This window comes from Homo sapiens, chromosome 6, assembly GCF_000001405.40.
Source record: "Homo sapiens chromosome 6, GRCh38.p14 Primary Assembly".
In the NCBI taxonomy this organism is placed as follows: Eukaryota; Metazoa; Chordata; class Mammalia; order Primates; family Hominidae; genus Homo; species Homo sapiens.
In genome coordinates, this window is record NC_000006.12 from 100,600,383 (window position 1) to 100,619,899 (window position 19,517).

At 32.6% G+C, this 19,517-nt stretch overlaps 1 protein-coding gene across 5 annotated transcripts in view; it reads right to left on the reverse strand.

Moving 5' to 3' along the window:
• Window positions 1-19,517, reverse strand: part of ASCC3 (activating signal cointegrator 1 complex subunit 3) — a 373,136-nt gene that overhangs the window by 92,189 nt on the left and 261,430 nt on the right. For all 5 annotated transcript variants that reach the window (NM_006828.4, XM_011535394.4, XM_047418108.1 and 2 more), the window contains 4 exons: window positions 6,569-6,706; window positions 6,358-6,478; window positions 5,186-5,318; window positions 1,428-1,553 (listed from right to left, as the gene is read on the reverse strand). In NM_006828.4, coding sequence (NP_006819.2) covers window positions 1,428-1,553; window positions 5,186-5,318; window positions 6,358-6,478; window positions 6,569-6,706 — 518 coding nt within the window. The remainder of the gene's footprint in view (window positions 1-1,427; window positions 1,554-5,185; window positions 5,319-6,357; window positions 6,479-6,568; window positions 6,707-19,517) is intronic.

Genomic DNA, 19,517 nt, shown 5'->3' on the forward strand with positions numbered 1-19,517 from the left:
GAAGTCTATTCCATGATTCTAATCCTGTAATGTGTTTGTTTACTGTGGTAAATGTGCAGTTCTGGATGGCTATCTCACTAATTTTGCAGCTATGTTCTCAAATAATATTTAGTACCTAACCCAGACACCCTAACGGTGGAGGGAACTGGGCAAAATGTCACCATATTCTCAAACTCCTATCTAAGTAAGTGAAAATGTTGGCTGAAAAGAAACTTCTTAAGGTGTTAGTAGGTAAGATTTAGTAAGAACATTTTCATCATGACTTCTCTAAGACTTTACAATGGTTTAATATTTTCTTTTACTTACATCTGGAATGTGCCTTAACATTGACCCTCCCTCCATTCACTCTGTATCTAAGGTCCTCATCATCTTTTCCCTATTATTCAGTAGCTTCCTAACTGGCCTTCCTGCTGTAATGGTCTTTCCATCCCACTTCACTTCCTACCATAGTGCAATAAATATTTAACAAAACATAACGTAATTTGGTAATGTTAATCCATATTTAAAGACACTCACCATAGCCTCTAGGATCAGATGCAAACTACTTAGCACAGCATAAAGGCCTTGTAGCCTCTGGTTCTTGGCCTACTTTGTAGTCAAGACAATCTTGTCTCCCTTCTCCTTAGGTTCTGGCTACATTAAACTTTTTCATATTCTCTAAATGCTTATGACTCTTTCAAGCCCTGAGGATTTTTGCCCACATAATTTAATTCTGCCTGAAGTGCCTTCCGCCTTTTCTACTCCTGTTCCTGATTCAAGATTTGGATGAAGTGTCACCTTTTCTGTGAAGCTGTCACTCTCATAGGCTTGAATATCGTTCTACTAGAGGATTTATAATATTCATTGTAACGACTTATATGGTTTTTCCCACACTAAAGATCAGCCCTTAAAAAACAGGGAGTCATGTACTCATTTTTACATCTCAGTGTTTAGTTTACCATCTGAAAAACAGTAAGTGCTGAACGAAGATCTAACATACTGTCTGGAGTGACATTCTACCACACCTCAATTTTATTTTCTCTTGCAATATTCTTATTAACACTTATAAATGCCCCACAAATTTTTTTCCACCTACAACTTCACAAGCCTCACTCTTTTCTGAATTCCAACTGCATCTAAGTCAGTCACTATCATGTAGTTTAGCACATTTCTTAATGACTTCAGGTATCTCATGTCTCAATTACAGAGCAAACTCCTCAGGATGGCTTAAGGTAATTAAAATAGGTTAAGTAACAAATGCATATAATTATTGATATTTTATATACTGTGATACCAGAGATATCATCTGATTCTTTAGACAAATTCATATACCTAGAATCTCCAAAGTTCTGCCTTTTTTGTATGTACCTTAATTTGGAGTTTATTACTTTCAAATATGTCTTATTTCGGGGCAAAACAGAAAGGTATATAACTGCCCTTGCACTTACCTGGGATTCATGATAAGACGTCGGAAAAAGTAAGTCCAGGTGATATAATCCAATGCATCTTGCTTAGATGTAATTGTACCACCAGCAATCTCTGCATTTAAGTGGTCAGAGAGCACTCCTAATAAACTATATAGTGAACAAGACATGGGAAGCATACAAGAGCATTAAACTAAAAACACTGAAATTTATCTCACATAGTCAAGATTCAGATTTTATGTTCTAAGATAAAAACAAATTTGTTTTATATAACTTAAATATTTAGTATATAATTTTGTATACTGTGTAAATAATTCATTCCAAATTATTTAGTGGGAATTTGGTTCCAACATACTTTAACCATGAGTCTATAAATCACTTAGTATCATGAACTCAGGTGAACCCGTATTATTCACCAGTACATATATGTGTTCTCATTTTCTTTTAAAGAAGTATGTTATAATTTTCATTTAAATGTGAATAAAAAGTGGGCTAGTTAGAATGTCACAAAAGTACTATTATAATAATATTTTTCCAGATTAAGTTAACAGTAGTAATAATTTGTTGAAAGCAATCACTAGTGCCTGTCACATGGTATGTACTCAATAAATGGCACTTATCACTACCAATCATTTTTGGAAAATAAATTGCTAGGTGTAAAATAAATACAAGCTGACAAAAAAAAAGCTACTGACTTTCAGGAGATGAGGACAGCCACGAGAGGTAGAGTAAGAGCAGGCAACAGAAGAGATATCTTGCAGAGGAAGGAAGAGCACAGGTACAGGACATGGAGCAAGTATAGAATAAGTACTGAGGCAGATTAAAGGAGAGTTGACAAAGAGATGCTATTTAGAACAGAAAAGTGAGCAAATATATTCTCTTCATTAATTTGTAAATATTAAAGTCCCTAGTCATATAAGACATTATGTATTAGGTGTTGTGGAGTACACAAAGATAATCAGATGTGTTGAAAGACTGGTATAACAAAATGTTTAGTTTAGTTTCTTATGTTAAATATAAAAAAGGAAGCAATGTTCAACAAAAGAAAAAGCTAAGTAAAACTATAATTCATGGAAAAATATGCAGGTATTAAAAATAGTTTTTGCAAAGGACACGAGAAAATAGTTATAATAAGTTGAATTTTTAAAAAAGTTGCTATGTTACTCTCAGGTCACCAGCTGCAGACTACAAATTGGTCCAGTCAATTTTGAGATCAAATTTGTAATATCTATCTGAACAATCACTATGAACCAGCAATTTCACTTTTTCATTATGATCTGCTAGAGAAACATTTACATGTGAGAATAGGAAAGAAAATCTTTCACTGCAACGTTATACATAAGAGGAGAAAACTGGAAATTCTCTAGGTGCACATTAATAGAGAAATGAATAAATAAATTATGAAATACTATGTAATACATAAAATAATAACGGTCATATCAAGGTACAAAACCAAAAAAAAATTTAGTTAACTTTTTATCGAAGTATACACAGAAAAAATTACATAAATTATATAGGTACAACACAATTAATTATTACAATGTGAACACAGTTGTGTAATCAACATCAACATCAAGCATTGAAAGTGTCCCAGAAGCCCTCCTGTTGTGCTTTTCTAGTCCCTTTCTTCTCAAAAGAATATTTGGACTTCCATTTCTTTTTGTTACCTTACTGCAGTGGTTTGGGCCTGTAGCTCAATGCTTACTGGAAGAAGTGACAGCAAAATCCCTCTATCATTTCCTATCTCAAAGGGAAAGCTTTCAATATCTTCTTATAAATTATGATGTTTGATATAGATTTTTTGTAGATATTCTTTATCAGATTAAGAACATTCCCTCATACTCCTGCTTGCTAACAGTTTTATTATAAATAGGTATGGAATTTCATCAATTTTTTTTACATCTATGAAATGATTATATGATTTTTCTCATTTTTGTTCATGTGGTGAATTATATCCATTCATTTTTCAAATAATCATCTTTGCATTTATAGAATAAGCTGCATGTGGTAGTAATATATTATCTTTTTATACATTGCTTGATTTGATTAACTATTGTTTGTTTAGAATTTCTACATCTATATTAATGAGAGACGTTTGTTATATTCCCTTCTCGTAAATTTTTTATCAGGTTTTGGTATCCAAGTTGTTCTGGTGTCATAAAACAAGCTGGCAAGTATTCTTCCCTTTTCCACTACTAGGAGGAGATTGTGTACGATTGATGCTATTTCACCCTTAAATGTTATGAAGAATTCACCATTGAAGCTTCTGGGTCAGAAGATTTCATTCTAAAAGATTTTAAATTTCAGATTCAATTGCTTTGGATAGATGAGAGACTATTTAGATTTTCTATCTTTTTGTGTCAGTTTTAGTAATTTTTAAAAGAAATTTTACTATTTGATACAAAATTTAAATATTATTTGCATTAGGTTGTTAATATCCTATTATTATTCCAGTCTGTGATATTTTTCCATTCCTGATATTTAGACTAAAAAATTTATCAATTTTATTCATCCTTTTAAAAGAACCAACTTTTGGTGTTGTTGATTTTTCTCTAGTTATGTTTATTTTCAGTTTATTAATTCTTACTCTTTTTCTTTCTTTGAGTTTAATTCGCTATTTTTTTTTCTAAATTCTTGAGATCAGTACTTAGACTACTAATTTTTTTTTCTTTTTCCTTTATTTTTCTGCAGATAGAGTTTCACCCTGTTGCTCAAATTAGAGTGCAGTGGTGTTACAACACATGTACCTCAAGCTCCTGGGCTCAAGCAATCCTCCTGCTGCCTCAGGACCACATGCATGAACCACTATGCCTGGCTAACTTTTTTTTTTTTTACTTTTTTGTAGAGACAGGATCTATCTACGTTACCTAGGCTGGTCTCAAACTCCTGGCCTCAAGCAATTCTGCCTCAGCCTTCCAAAGTGCTAGGATTACAGGTGAGAGCCACCTTGCCTGGCTGACTTTTTAAGTTTTTAAAATCAACATTATTAGCACTTATAAAAAATAAAAAGAACCAACAATTATATACAGGATAAATCAGATGTTTTGTCTTCAATGCAGTTAGAATATGGTAAAGGAGATCCAATATATAGAAAAGGACTATGATAAAAGGTAGAAAGTGATAAGTATTTATAAGTGAAAAATACCTAAACCTGAAGGAAGAAAGGTTATTTTCAGCTGAGAATACAAGAGAAGACTTTGAGAAAGGGGTAGTGGTTACTGGGTCCCAAAAGAGGTATAGGATGATTCTCAAATGAGCCAGCAGCCTAAATCATTAATTACATGCTCCCTTATTTGGGATATTTATTTATTAACTGTACAACTGTACTATGAAAACCCTCACCAAACTAATACTTTATTAAATGTTTATTATGTGATAGACACTGTTCTAAGCACTATGTATTTGATTATTATTAGTACTCTATGAGATAGCTGGTCTTGCTACCATCTCCATTTTACAATAGGTGCAATAAGGCAATGAGGTGTTAAGCAACTTGCTCAAGATCAAGCAAGTAAATGGTAGAGCTCAGATTTTCACCCTGGTCATCTGGCTTCATAGTCAATGCGTCTGAACACTGTACTATACTGCTTATTTTAAAAAGTTATTTTTAACATTTAAATTATAATTGAATATTGTCATAAAGTGATAATTATATTGTTTCACATTATATTAAATTCTTCTAAGCTACCTGTTTTACTGATTTTTATATAATAAAATATAACCAGAAAAACACCAACTTGTGATTAAATAAATCCATTTAAACTAATTTAAATAAGATTTACCTTGATTCTACTGGGAAAGGTTCATAAAGAAATTTTTTATAAAAGTCTTTCTTTATGTCATGAACTAGAATTACAGCTTTGCCTTGGTCATCGAACTGCGGCCTCCCAGCACGCCCCATCATCTGGAGGACATCTTTAAAAGAGAGAACAAAGAGATATTCTACAATGTGGCATATAGCACAAGGTATATTTACTGATTATGGCATGCTTCTATAATCAACCAAATAACAAAAGAAATAGAATATTGTGATAATATGTTTGCTATGTTGATGGCTACTACTACGTTGAGTTCCCTAAATTAATATAATTAACTCAGAAAATTGATAAATAAGCAAGTAACTATGATGAAAAACTGAGTCTTTGAAAGGGTCTTTCTTAACATTTATAGATGTAAGAAAGATGAAAATTCCCTTTAGTGGAATGCTTTAAAATGCTGTTTAATAGATATTATTTTAATTAAATAAGAAAAAGTAAAAAATAAAATATATATACAAAAATCTTTTCAGCAGAGTCATTTGATTATTTTCCCCGTGAATAATGAACCCATTTAGGCCTTGTCCTCCCTGCACCCCGGTATAAAATTTCTTTCTTTTAGTCTACATAAATCTCTGAGATAACTAATGATTTAGAAATGATACAGCTTTTACATGTATTCATTTAGTGGAAATATACATTGAGTGTATTTCCCTTTTTGAACTCACTGAAAATGCTTTTATCATGTTTTAAAATATCTTAACAGAGTCTTCATGCATAAGTTGTAGCAATAAACACTTTGGTTCTGGAAATCCCATGGAGGTATCATTTCTAGTGAAACACATTTAAAATTAAGCAAAACAATACTTAGTCATAATTTACTAAGGAATTTCACTAATAGCTCCTAAGAAGTACTTTTATCTATTTATAAATTTGAAACCAACTTTGGATGGCTTAATAACAAGTACTTTAAGCCACTTATTATTTTCTTACTTTTGTGTAAGTAAAAGTAAATACAGCAGCAATATTTTGTATAATATTTTAACTGAAAACAAAAAGTCTATAATTGCTTATCATCTGTTTAAATGTGACCAATTCTCAGAAGTTTAATTGGTGGAAATTCAAATTAATTATTCAAATTCAAATTTACTCAGGGTAAAATAGAGCTTCATGTATTTCTGTGAATTTAAGAAAATTACCTGTAATGGGAAAATCCACATAACGTCTTGTTTTTCCATCATAGTATTCTGTTCCCTTAATAATTACTAAATGAGCTGGAAAGTTTACACCCCAGGCTAATGTGCTTGTAGCAATAAGAACCTAAAAAGCAAAATAAAATATCTTATATCTAAGTAAAATATAACTTTTAAGTTACATTTAAATATGTGTTCACTGGAGAAAAAAAAGTACCTGAACTTTACAGTTTACAAATAGTTCCTCTACTGTTTTTCGGTCCCTCTCATGTAGTCCAGCATGATGCATTCCTATCCCGAAAGCAAGGGTCAGCTTGAGGTTGGAATCTCTTACTGTTGCAATGATGTTCTCCATCTGCAAGTAAAAACAAAATTACAAGATGTAGATGCATAACTTTAAAATTTTCATTAATTTTTCATGTTTCAAAAAACATTAATTTTGTCTTTATGTTATTATATGGACATAAAATATAAGTCCTATATACAGTTATGATTAAAGTTCAACTAACTGAAAAGAATATCTACTTGGTGAGAATATATACTCTAAACACACTAAAGTTTAAATGTTATCCATCTTATTTTTATGCATCAAGAAAAAAAATCTGTAGATAAATGATATGTTCTTTAATGAGTAACAACCATTAAAAAGGATGCAATATTTCAGTGTCTCTGTTCATCTCTTGTTATAAAAAACACTGTTTTTGAAGTTCAGTGCCAAAAATTTTAAAAATACAGACCAAAAAATAGTGGAAAAAAAAAATCAGCCATAATCCTTGCAGACAGAAAGAAATTGTTCCAATTTATGCTTTCTTACAGAACTTATTGGCCCTGAACAAGTCACACAACCTCACTAAGCCTGTTTCTTTAACTGTAAATTTGAAATAATAACAGTAATCTTATATATGCATTTAATTTTCCCTAAAGCCCTGTAATAGTAAATACTATTATTCATCCTATATGTAAATTTAGTAATGATAAAAGGATACATATACCTATTCAAAAATTGTTTTCCAGAGAGGCACACAGCTATAAACATATTAGCATCTCAATGTTACTATGTTCTCAAAACTCTGAATATTATTTAAAAAATCAAACTGGTGTATTTTTGTTTACTTCTTATCTTCGATCAATAGTACAGCTAAACACTTTTTATATTTATTGGCTGTTTTATAATTTACCTTTTAATTTTTTAAGTCGATGTGATAGCCTTTTTTTTTCTAATTGGCTTGTGATCTTTTTTATATATTAACGATATTAACCCCTTGTCCATCATATGCTAGAAATATGTATATATATATTTATATATACATACATATACATATATACACATATATATACATATATATGTATATATATCTATATACACATATATATGTATATATATCTATATATACATATATATGTATATATATCTATATATACATATTTATATACATATTTATATATGTGTGTGTATATATATACTTTATATATATACTTTATATATATACTTTATATACTTTATACTTTATATATATACTTTATATATACTTTATATATATACTTTATATATACTTTATATATACCTTATATATGTATACCTTATATATATACCTTATATATGTATACCTTATATATATACCTTATATATGTATACCTTATATATATACCTTATATATGTATACCTTATATATATATACCTTATATATATTTTATATATATACTTTATATATATTTTATATATATATACTTTATATATATATACTTTATATATATACTTTATATATATATACTTTATATATATACTTTATATATATATACTTTATATATATACTTTATATATATATACTTTATATATATATTTTATATATATATACTTTATATATATATTTTATATATATATACTTTATATATATATTTTATATATATATACTTTATATATATATTTTATATATATATACTTTATATATATATTTTATATATATATACTTTATATATATATTTTATATATATATACTTTATATATATATATATATATATATATATATATATATATACTTTTTCTTTTTGAGGCAGAGTCTCGCTACGTTGCCCAGGTTGGAGTGCAGTGGCGTGATCTCGGCTCACTGCAAGCTCTGCCTCCCGGGTTCACGCCATTCTCCTGCCTCAGCCTCCCGAGTAGCTGGGACTACAGGTGCCCGCCAACATGCCCGTCTAATTTTTTGTATTTTTAGTAGAGACGGGGTTTCCCGTGTTAGCCAGGATGGTCTCGATCTCCTGGCCTCGTGATCCGCCCGTCTCGGCCTCCCAAAGTGCTGGGATTACAGGCGTGAGCCACCGCGCCTGGCCTGCTATAAATATTTTTGCCCCCAGTTTTTTATTTGCACTTTATTTTATTTATGCTTTAACTTTATGGACCTAAAATTGTAAATCGGTCCCTTATGTTTTGTTGCTTAGAAAACTTTTCCTAAATATATACATACATATTTCCCCATTTCTTCAACTTCTGTTATAGTTTTATTTTTTAAATTTAAATAATTATCTTGTAATTTATTTTTGTATAGAAACTATGGTAGAAATCTAAGTTTAGTTTTCCTAAATAATTAACCAATTATTCTAGCAATATAGGTTAAATACTTCCTTATCTTACTTTAAATGCTACATTTAGTATATTCACAATTTTTATATATTATAATTTTTACATTTTTAAACATTTCCAGCCTGAGTTTAGCTCACTAAACTGTCATATATCTAAATGGTTTTTGAAACTCATGTTGTAGAAACGCTCTCTGAATATTCTATCACTTTCCATTCAACATGGAAAATACTTAAAGTAACACAAATTTTATGGGAAGAAAAAGCAAATCTTATTTTCTTACAAAATTTGTTGTAAAGAACTAAATAGTTGTGGCTGGGTGTGGTGGCTCAAACCTGTAATCCCAGCACTTTGGGAGGCCAAGGTGGGTGGATCATGTAAGGTTTGAGGTCAGGAAATCGAGACTAGCCTGGCCAACATGGAGAAACCTCGTCTCTACTAAAAATACAAAAATTAGCTGGGCATGGTGGTGCATGCCTGTAACCCCAGCTACTCAGGAGGTGAGACAGGAGAATCGCCTGAACCCGGGATGCAGAGGTTGCAGTAAGTTTAGATCATGCCAGTGCATTCCAGCCTGGGCAACAGAGCTAGATTCTGTCTCACAAAAAAAGAAGAAAAAAAGAAAGTCCAGTTTCTTTGTTTCAGATAGTTCTCTGTCCTTGAAGCAGAGGATAACATAAGGCACAGCATAAGGAAGTTCTTTCCGGGAAACTCCATGAGGAGAATAATGTTAAGACCAAGTGATTTGAGAAGACATGAGCACTGAAAAGAAGGATACATCTCTAAAGTTTCACCACCACATTCCAGCAGTAAGCAACAGGGGAGAAGTAACTTGGAAATAGTAAATGCATAACTTTTATATGCCTGAGATAGAAGTATAAAAAAGTGACAATTTCTTCAGATCTTATTTCCTTTTTTCTATTAGCAACCTCTAATATATATAAGCATGCTTGCAATATACTTAGTAGCTTGTCTGTGCATAAATCAATAAGTAGATCACAAAATCCTCAGCTTGAGAAACTATTGCTGCTGCTGCAGTTTAGTAAAAATGTATGAAAATATCCACATAATGAAACATTCCAACTGCTTTCTTGTTCATTTTATTTTCACTAGTCAGAAAAATTTTCTAAGTTTTTTTTTAATGTGGAAGCAAGCTGTTTTATACTTATAATAATCCATAAAATAGGACAATAAAGTTTAGCTTTATAATAATTACTAAGGTATTAAAAAAGCACTGTACAAACTAGGTGATATTTTAATGACATACACATAAGAAATGTTATTTATCAACTTTCACTGAACTGAATACAATGTCTAAATAGCTCATGTATAAATAGTTCATTCTGTTTGGCCACCTAGTATTCTTGTATTATTTACTTTATGAACTGTTAAGCAGGAATATGGAAATATATTAGTATGAATCCACTTTACCTTAAAATTAGCACAGGACATGTAAACTGACTATAAATGCATGATATAAGGAAAGGTGCTTGTCTTGTCTCATAAACTACATGTTAGGTATTCTCATTAGACAACTTATTCTCCATTTTTTGTTCAATAGTTCACAGCATAAAATGTCTTCAATTTACACTACAAGGAACTAATTCACTGGTGTCCTTGTTCTAATAATTAGTTTGAGAGATTTTTTTTCACTTTTAAACTTACATAAGTATATATAACTTGTGTAATTTGTAGTGCCCCGTGGCAATGCCAATCATACCCAAAGAATAATGAATCATTTGCCATAGGAAAGCTAAAGAATCCTCTGGCAGAAGGTCTGGTGAGGCATTAATATTCTGTCTTTTACACCAGGGAAGGCTAACAGTTTCTCAATCTCCTAGACCCCACTTTCACATAAATCAATGCAGTAAAGAGAACTGTTTGTTTATCTGAACTGGCAAAGACTTAACATCCTCATGAAGACAATCGCACACACAAAAAACTTCATTTATTACATGGTTTCTCTGGATGAATTTCAAATTATTTGAACATCATAAAAAGCAAAATTTATAGCTGTTAATCATTAAGCACAAAATACTACTAGGACGGCCTATACAAATTTGAAAATCTAATTTTTTGGATTATATACATCTTTGTTACTGTACTTAAAAATAAGTTTCATCTTGATCAAAACATCTTAAGACAAGCAAAAGTATTCAGGAACTTAGGATAATGAAAGTTTAAAACATGACAATAGATATAATTTGTTGAGCACTTATAATATGCCAGGCATTGTGTTTATCACTTTACAAAGATTATCACATTTAATCCTTTATATAAAGTAATATAGTCCTAATATAACAATTAATTTATACAACTGAGTATATGTCAAATGGAAAGACCCAGTGATTTTGAATACTAAAGAGTATAGTTTCTTAGCCCTGGTTCCATGAGAGAATTAACCCCCATAAAAAATACTTGGGTTACCATCTTCTCAATTTTTCTAGTGATAGCTAGTACTTTTCTAGATGGAGAGGAGACAAGTTTATTTTATACATAAAATGGATGCCTTAGGACATTAAGGCTTAATTCTTGTTAAGAAGAGTTGCTATAGAATTAAAAAAAAAAACCATGATAAATGAAACACTGATAGAAGAAGTTTTACTTCCATAGTTCATTTTTGTTCAACAAATTATTTGTTGTAATGTATAGGTGTCTTTCCAATAAATAGCCTTTGAAATATGTCTGACCACCTGATTGTTAAAAAAATTATTCAATATTATACGTAACAGAAAAACAGATCTATGTTATTCTAGGTAGTGATCTTTTTCTTAAGGTTGGGGGGAGGAGGCACATATGTAAACTGTTGAACCATTTACTTTAACTTAATAGAACTTTTTTACATTTTATATTTATTATACTCAAAAAGCTTTTGTAGAAATATAGATTCCATTTAAGTAGATACATTACTCTGTGCCTGAAATACATTCCAGTCGAATATAATTCAGTGAGTTGATGACAACGTTGGCACCAAAAGGAGGAGACCAGATTGAACAAGAATGAGCTAACAGATTGTGCAGCCCAATTCTGTCCTTTTGAATGTGATATATTGTTTCAAGATGCTAAAAACCCATACTTTCTCAAAGCATATCTGTTGTGCTGGTTTTCTCATTTTCACAGAATCCTCATTATCAGAACTCTATACTCTTTTCAAAGCATGTCAGACTCAGACCATATGCCACTGAATAATGCTTATCAATTGTCTGAAATGCTCAATAAAAGATGTACCACAGAAGAATCATAAAAGTTCTGAAGTTTTATTTTTAAATAAAAATAATTAAATCTATCATATCTGGTACAGATATTAAATGACACTAAAACATTTCCTTATAATCACCAAATGTTAATTTCTTTTAATACAAGTCTGTATGATAAACCCCATACACTGAAGGAAGAAAAACAATGAAACATTTTACAGCATTCTACTGATACACTAATAAAAAAGAATTCAAGAAATAAATGAATTAAAAAGAATAGTTTCTAAACTGTATCAATACTCCCAAAATTTATACTTCGTTGCTCTTTCTGACGCTCAAAGACAAGCACACCTCAAAATGATTTATCATACTTTCAAAATATAAATATATTTATATGTGATTAAATTACATGTGAAGTAAATATATAAGTGAAATATAAATTAAATGTACAAATGAAATACAAACAATAACAGCTAAATCTTTGCTATTTTGCCAAATATACACAATACTATTTTCAATGTTTGCTTTTTAGTTTGGCTTAATTCTTTTTTTCTTTCTTTCTTTCTTTTTTTTTTCAGGAAAGCATGCTTAAATTTGTCTTAAAATATTTTTTGAGGGAGGGGTACAAGCAGAATCTATTACCTGTCTAGATTGCGTAGTGGGCAAGTCAGGGCTTTTAGGGTACCCATTACCTGAATTGGGTACATTGTACCCATTAAGTAATTACTCATAGTCTACCTCCCTCCTACTCTGTCACCCTTCCAAGTCTCCATTGTATATTATTCCTCTCCATCCATTTGTATAAATTAAATTTTTTTAATTTTATTTTTTGTGGGTACATAGTCACATGTATACATTTTTTAGCATCCACTTATGAGTGAGAACATGCAATATTTGGCTTTCTGTGTCTGGCTTGTTTCCCTTATGATAATGACCTATATAGTTCCATCCATGCTGATGCAAAAGACATGATTTCATTCTTTTTTATGGCTGAATAGTATTCTATTTTGTATATATACATTTTCTTTATCCAATCATTTATTGATGGATACTTAGGTTGATTCCAATCATTTACTGATGGATACTTAGGTTGATTCTGTATCTGCTATTGTGAATAGTGCTGCAATAAATATATGAGTGCAGGTATCTTTTTGATATACTGATTTCTTTTTCTTCGGGTAGACACCTAGTAGTAAAATTGCTGGGTGGAACGGTAATTCTATTTTTAGTTTTCTGAGAAATCTCCAGACTATTTTCCATAGAGGTTGTTCTAATTTACATTCTCACCAACAGCGTGTAAGAGTTCCCTTTCCCCTGCATCCTCATAGATGATAATAGCCATTTTGACTGGGGTAAAATAATATCTCATTGTGGTTTTAGTTTGCATTTTTCTGGTGATTAGTAATGGTGAGCATTTTTTCATATACTTCTTGGCCATTTGTATGTCTTCTTTTGAAAAATGTCTATGTCCCTTGCACTTGGCCTAATTCTTAATAAAAGCAGTATCAAAACTGGGTTGTAGGGTAAGATATTAAAGATTTTTTCTTATTCATGTTTTTAATTTAATTTGGCACGCTGTTGGTAGGAAATCCCAGTGTAAGCACTTCATATTTATTTCTGATTATAACTTTTATCTTTATTTCCATTGTTGAAGAATTTTGATTCTAACTCATATTTAGCATTTCCATATATTGAAAAACTTTAAAAATGCAGATAAAGGTAATGAAAGGGACATTATAAAATTTTCGAAAGTAGTATATTGTTAAATGCGTAATTATGATATTAACATGAATTAAATTTGTGAAGGATCACAGCAGGCAAAAAGGTACAAATATAAGATCAGATTTTACCACAACTCTCAACAAAGAGAACCTATAAGGTATAATTTCATGTTGCTATACAATCACAGTAATAACAGTTAATATTTATTAAACATTTAACTATGTTTCGGTATCTTAAACGTATTAACACATGTAATCCTCACAACATTCCTATGAGGATGGGTTTCCTATTATTCTCTTTCATAACTGAAGAGATGGCGCGCAGAGATTAATCCTACCAAGGCCACATAGCTTGTAACAGGCAGTCAGTATTGACCAAGAAGCCTGGCTCCAGTCCATCCTCTCAAGCACAATGCCACCCTCTAATCACTACATGAATAAGAGGGATATTTAGTTAACTAATGAAAGTAATAATATTATTAATCAGGCTTAAGGGTGAGCCCCAGTGTTTTAGACTACATGCAGAAAACAAGTAAGATTTGAAATAATGAGTAATGTATTTGAAATAATGAGTTATGAAATAATGAGTAACTCTATGCAGATGATTTATAAATCTATTTTTTATTAATTTCCCACTTCTATGCCTAAAAATGAAGAATGTCTAAAATTATTTTCTTTTTTAAACTAAAATATTACCTTTTTCAACTATCTTCATGATTGAGAATGGCACAGCTCCTGTTGTTTGCTCGTTTGATATTTCAGCTACTAATTTTTATTTTTTTTTTCCTTTTCTTAAAAAAAATTTTTGAGATGGAGTCTCGCTCTGTCGACCAGGTTGGAGTGCAGTGGCGTGATTTTGGCTCACAGCAACCTCTGTCTCCCAGGCTCAGGTGATCCTCCTGCCTCAGCCTCTCGAGTAGCTGGGACTACAGGTGCGTGCCACCACACCTGGGCCAGGCTTGTCTTGAAATCCTGACCTCAGGTGATCCACCCAACTCGGCCTCCTGCAGTGCTGGGATTACAGGCATGAGCCACCGTGCTCAGCCCAGCTACTGATTTTTCTTTATTTTTATTGCACTTTTGTCCCCATCAAATTACTCCCACCCCCACCATGACTTTTCCATCTTTTCTATTCGATATTGTTGTCACTGATTCCAATTACTGTATGGCAGATTAAAATAACAGAGACTGTAGGTTAGCTACCCTGTTTTGAGTTCCTAAGCTGCCACTTGCTTGCTTGTGCTATCTGGACAATCACTTAATCCTTCTAATTTCAGTTTTTGCATCTATAAAACTGGGATAATAAAAACTACCCTTTGAGAATTCATGATAAAATGTGATAATATAAACTTTAATGAATTCTAAAGTACTCTATATAAATACATCACTTAATACTTAGTTTAGTAAAAGTAAACTACTATTATGCTTAGCAATAATTGATACATTTTGCCTCCTTCTTCAGTAGGATATGCATGCTACCAACTAAGGCAAAATAAAATAAAACAGCCTCCTATATTGTAACTCAAGGATACTGAATAGCTGCTCTAAATTGCAGAAATATTTCACAAGGCCCAACTGGTTTCAAACATTCAGTGCTCAGCAAATCTGTAGATAATGTCTGCTTGACACTCAATATTCTCAGCTTAATAGTTTATTTACTGGTCAGTCATTTAGAGGTATGAGGCTTGATAAAACAGAAAGCACTTGGGGTGGGAATTTTGTACCATGAACTAAATTTATTTTAGTTCTATAAAAAACAGGTCCTTTGAGTTAGAAATGATGTTGTTATCCTGCATTAAATTCAACTTAATTTCTGATTTAAAACAATTTCAAAATCCATCTTCAACATCTAGTACTAACTTCTTACCTACAAGAAGAGGCCAATATCTATTTATATGTTGAATGAACAGGCAAATTAATCAAAGAAAACTATAGTAAAATGTCATTAGAATCTCCACCAAATCTGAACTCAGGATAATTTTGAGTAAAGCAAAACTATAGTTCATCTCTGTAGGTCTACTAATATTTTACTTGTAATGAGATTAGGTGGATTATGTTTAGCTTAAAATGATAAACTGCTCTAGCATCTAAAAACACTTTAGTATTAAGCATGTGAAAACACTATCAATCTTACTTTTCATGAAAGTATTCTTCCTATGCACCTGCATTACAGTTTTCATAAATTCACTTTGAAGCACCATGTAAAATTATAATTGGCACATTCAAAAAATAATGTTCTGTATAATTTAGAAGAGACTTCCAGCCAATTAATTTGAATTAACAAGGATTAACTATACTGCTGTTCCTTGTTCCAGGGAACTCTTATCTCCCATACCCTTCTAATTTCGTATTACCTCTACCTGGAATTTTTCCATGGTTTGCTCCAGTCAGAAGGCTCTTACCTTTCCTGCTTCAGATTTTTTCCCCCACCTACCTTTGGATGATGTTGTAGACTTTAGAGCACAACTTAAAACATTCATGGCAAAAGGCCTTGCAGAATCCTAATTAATTTCTACTTGTAAGGACAAAAGTGAATAGCGAGTTCTTGTTGTTGTATTCTTCTTTTAGCTACCTGGATCTTATTTAACAGTGTGGCAGAAGAAAGGGGCCGCCCTGCTGTTAACTGGCAAGAAACACAGAGGTGTTGAGGGAAATAATGTAAGCAATACTAAAGAATGAAGTCTAATCTTCAGCCAGCATCCTGCTTTCCCACCCCAGAAAAGGAATCTCATCTAAGGGCAGTATTCTGAACTTTTTGTTGTTGTCGTTGTTGTTGTTGTTGTTGTTGTTGTTGTTGAGACAGAGTCTTGCTCTGTCACCCAGGCTGGAGTGCAGTGGCGCGATCTTGGCTCACTGCAATCTCTGCCTCCTGGGTTCAAACAATTATCATGCCTCAGCCTCCCGAGTAGCTGGGATTACAGGCACATGCCACCATGCTCAGCTAATTTTTGTATTTTTTTTAGTAGAGATGGGGTTTCACCATGTTGGCCAGGCTGACCTTGAACTCCTGACCTCAAATGATCTGCCTGCCTCGGCCTCCCAAAGTGCTGGGATTACAGGCGTGAGCCACCGTGCCTGGCCCAGTATTCTGAGCTTTCAATCCATAGACTCACTCAGAAGAAAAGGCCTTCCCTCTGTTCTTTTATCTGTTAGTGCTGGTTGGCAACTATCCAGATCGTAGCACTATTTTCCTTGAAATATGGGACCAGACTGCAGAATATTGGGTGGAAGCTGACAGATCATACTTGCTAGATGTTAAATTATAATATTAATTAAATTACACAGTAAAACTTCTAGAAGTTGTATATGCTATTTGCTTCTATTTTCACCTCCTTGCCCCCCTCATTTGCTCCTCAGTCTATTCCAAACTGCTTCTGTTCACATGTCACTGACTGCCAAGTTCATCCAGGACCTTCAAATGATAAACCCCATGGGTGTTTCCTGTGCTCTCCTCCACTCAACTCCCATTTACATTTGATATAGCCAAGCACTCCTTCCTTCACAGAACCCTCTCTTCTACAGTGTTTTAGGACACTGTCTTACTATACTGGCATCACATTCTCAGTGACCTGTGCCAGTTCCTCATTTTCTATCTCAGCTCGCACTAAGAGAATCCCTCAGGGCCTGCCCTCTGTTTCTCCACACTCTGTCTGAGAGTCTCATGTGCTTACCTTGGTTTAAGGGTTGCCGCCATGCTGATGCATCCATGTTCATATGTTCATTTCACAGTCTCTGTGGGTTTTACAGACTTGTATCTAATTGCCTTGAAATCTCCACTTGAAAGTCTTAGATATACAAACTAACATGTCCAAAATATAACTTCTTCTTTTAAAAATGAATACTTTACAGATTCTGAGAAGGGCTGCCTATGGCTTTGAATTAGAGGACTGCTATTTTTATGGATATTTTGGGGAAGTAGGAAGCGAAAGAAGACTGAGTGCCCGACTATGTGATACCAGGTGACCTTGCAATGAAAACTGTTGATCATAAACTGAGTATTTCACTGTCACTTTACTGGAAAGTAGAGATGATGCAAGTTGATGATTCACATTTTGCCCTGAAGGTAACCAGATTAGCCAGATGGTAAGGAGTTTGACAAGAGTATTACTGGAGGACAGAAAGGCACAAGTTTTAGGTGGATGAACTCTTAGAACAGTGCCAGAATAAAAGGCTACCTGTATTTCACGAAGATTCGTGACAAAAAGTTAAGAGCATTGTGCAATATGCTGGTAATGATCAAATGGGCAAAATAACCACCTCTTAGGATATCGGACAGCCTCCTTCCCAGGCCACAGTGTTTTATGCAATAGGTTATGTACTCAGTGGCCAAAGTAAAAGAGATGAAAATTATGCATGGGTGAAACATAAACTTCCTTTTCCTCACGAAGGCCCAGCTATTGCTACTGCTCAGTGCCTAATATGCCAACAGTGGAAACACTGGGCCCATAATAAAGTATCTTACCCCTGAAACCAGACAGTTATCTGGTGGTGAGAAGATTATACTGGACCTTCTGTATCACTGAGGAGACACGTATTCATCTCTGTAAGAACAGGCACTTACTTTGGATTTTAATTCTCTTTTCCTACCAAACATGGTTCTGCTAGTAGCCTCAAGGGTAGAATTACTGAATGCCTTATACATCATGACGATACCCTGTATAATAATGTTTCTGTCTGAGGAACTCACTTCATAAAGGAAAAGGTAAGACAATAGGATGATGCCATTGAATGCACTGGTCTTATTATGTTCTCATTAATAGAAAGAGCTGGTTTTATAGATTAAAGATTCAGAATGGCAGCTGGGAGGCAATACCTGGGAAAGGTTGGGGTACTATCCTGCAGGATGAGGTGTAGCCTCTGAACTAGTAATCATCAATGATGCTATTTGTTCTATTGCCAGAATATATGGTTCCAGGAACCAAGTACTCAAGGTGTGTGGATGTCTTTTGAAATCACAGACAAAAAACCACTTGAAAACTTTTGCCTTCTCTTCCCTATAACTCTAGCTTTGCTAGTTCGGAGGCTTATTATCAAAAGGATTAACAGTTTACTTGGAAACTGAAACAGCCACATGACCACTTCAGGCTCTCAGGTTCTTGGATGAACAAACAAAATGTGGTCTCAGTATAGTCTGGGAAACTTATCCTGATGAAGAAATTGGGCTATTTTTTTATAATAAGGGGAGAGAAATTTGGATAGAACATAAATAAATCTGACACTACTGTATCCATTTGAAAAATTAATTAAAGATTTTACAATCCTATATATTAACCATATATAAAATTGCAATTTTCAATCTATCAAGAATGTATGCTTTTGGTCACTCCACTGGATAAAGAGTCTTGATTAGCTTCATGACTGGTTGAAGAAAAAATGTACAGATGATGTATGGTAGAGAAAATGAATCATAAATATCTATTTGGCCCCCTGGCTAGTTGCAGAAATACAGAGTGGTCTCTAATCATTTTCTCTTGCTGTCTTATATATCAACATATTTTAACTAATATATTTAAACTAATTTTATTCCTCTTCCCTCTTTCTATCCTCTTTTACTGTAGAATACGGCATTAGTTAGCTGTAACTTTATAATCTAGTCCACTGACTAGAGAATACTGAGATGGGCTTGCAAAAGAACTAGAGGGTGACTAGATACAAGCAAGAGATCTAGGACTA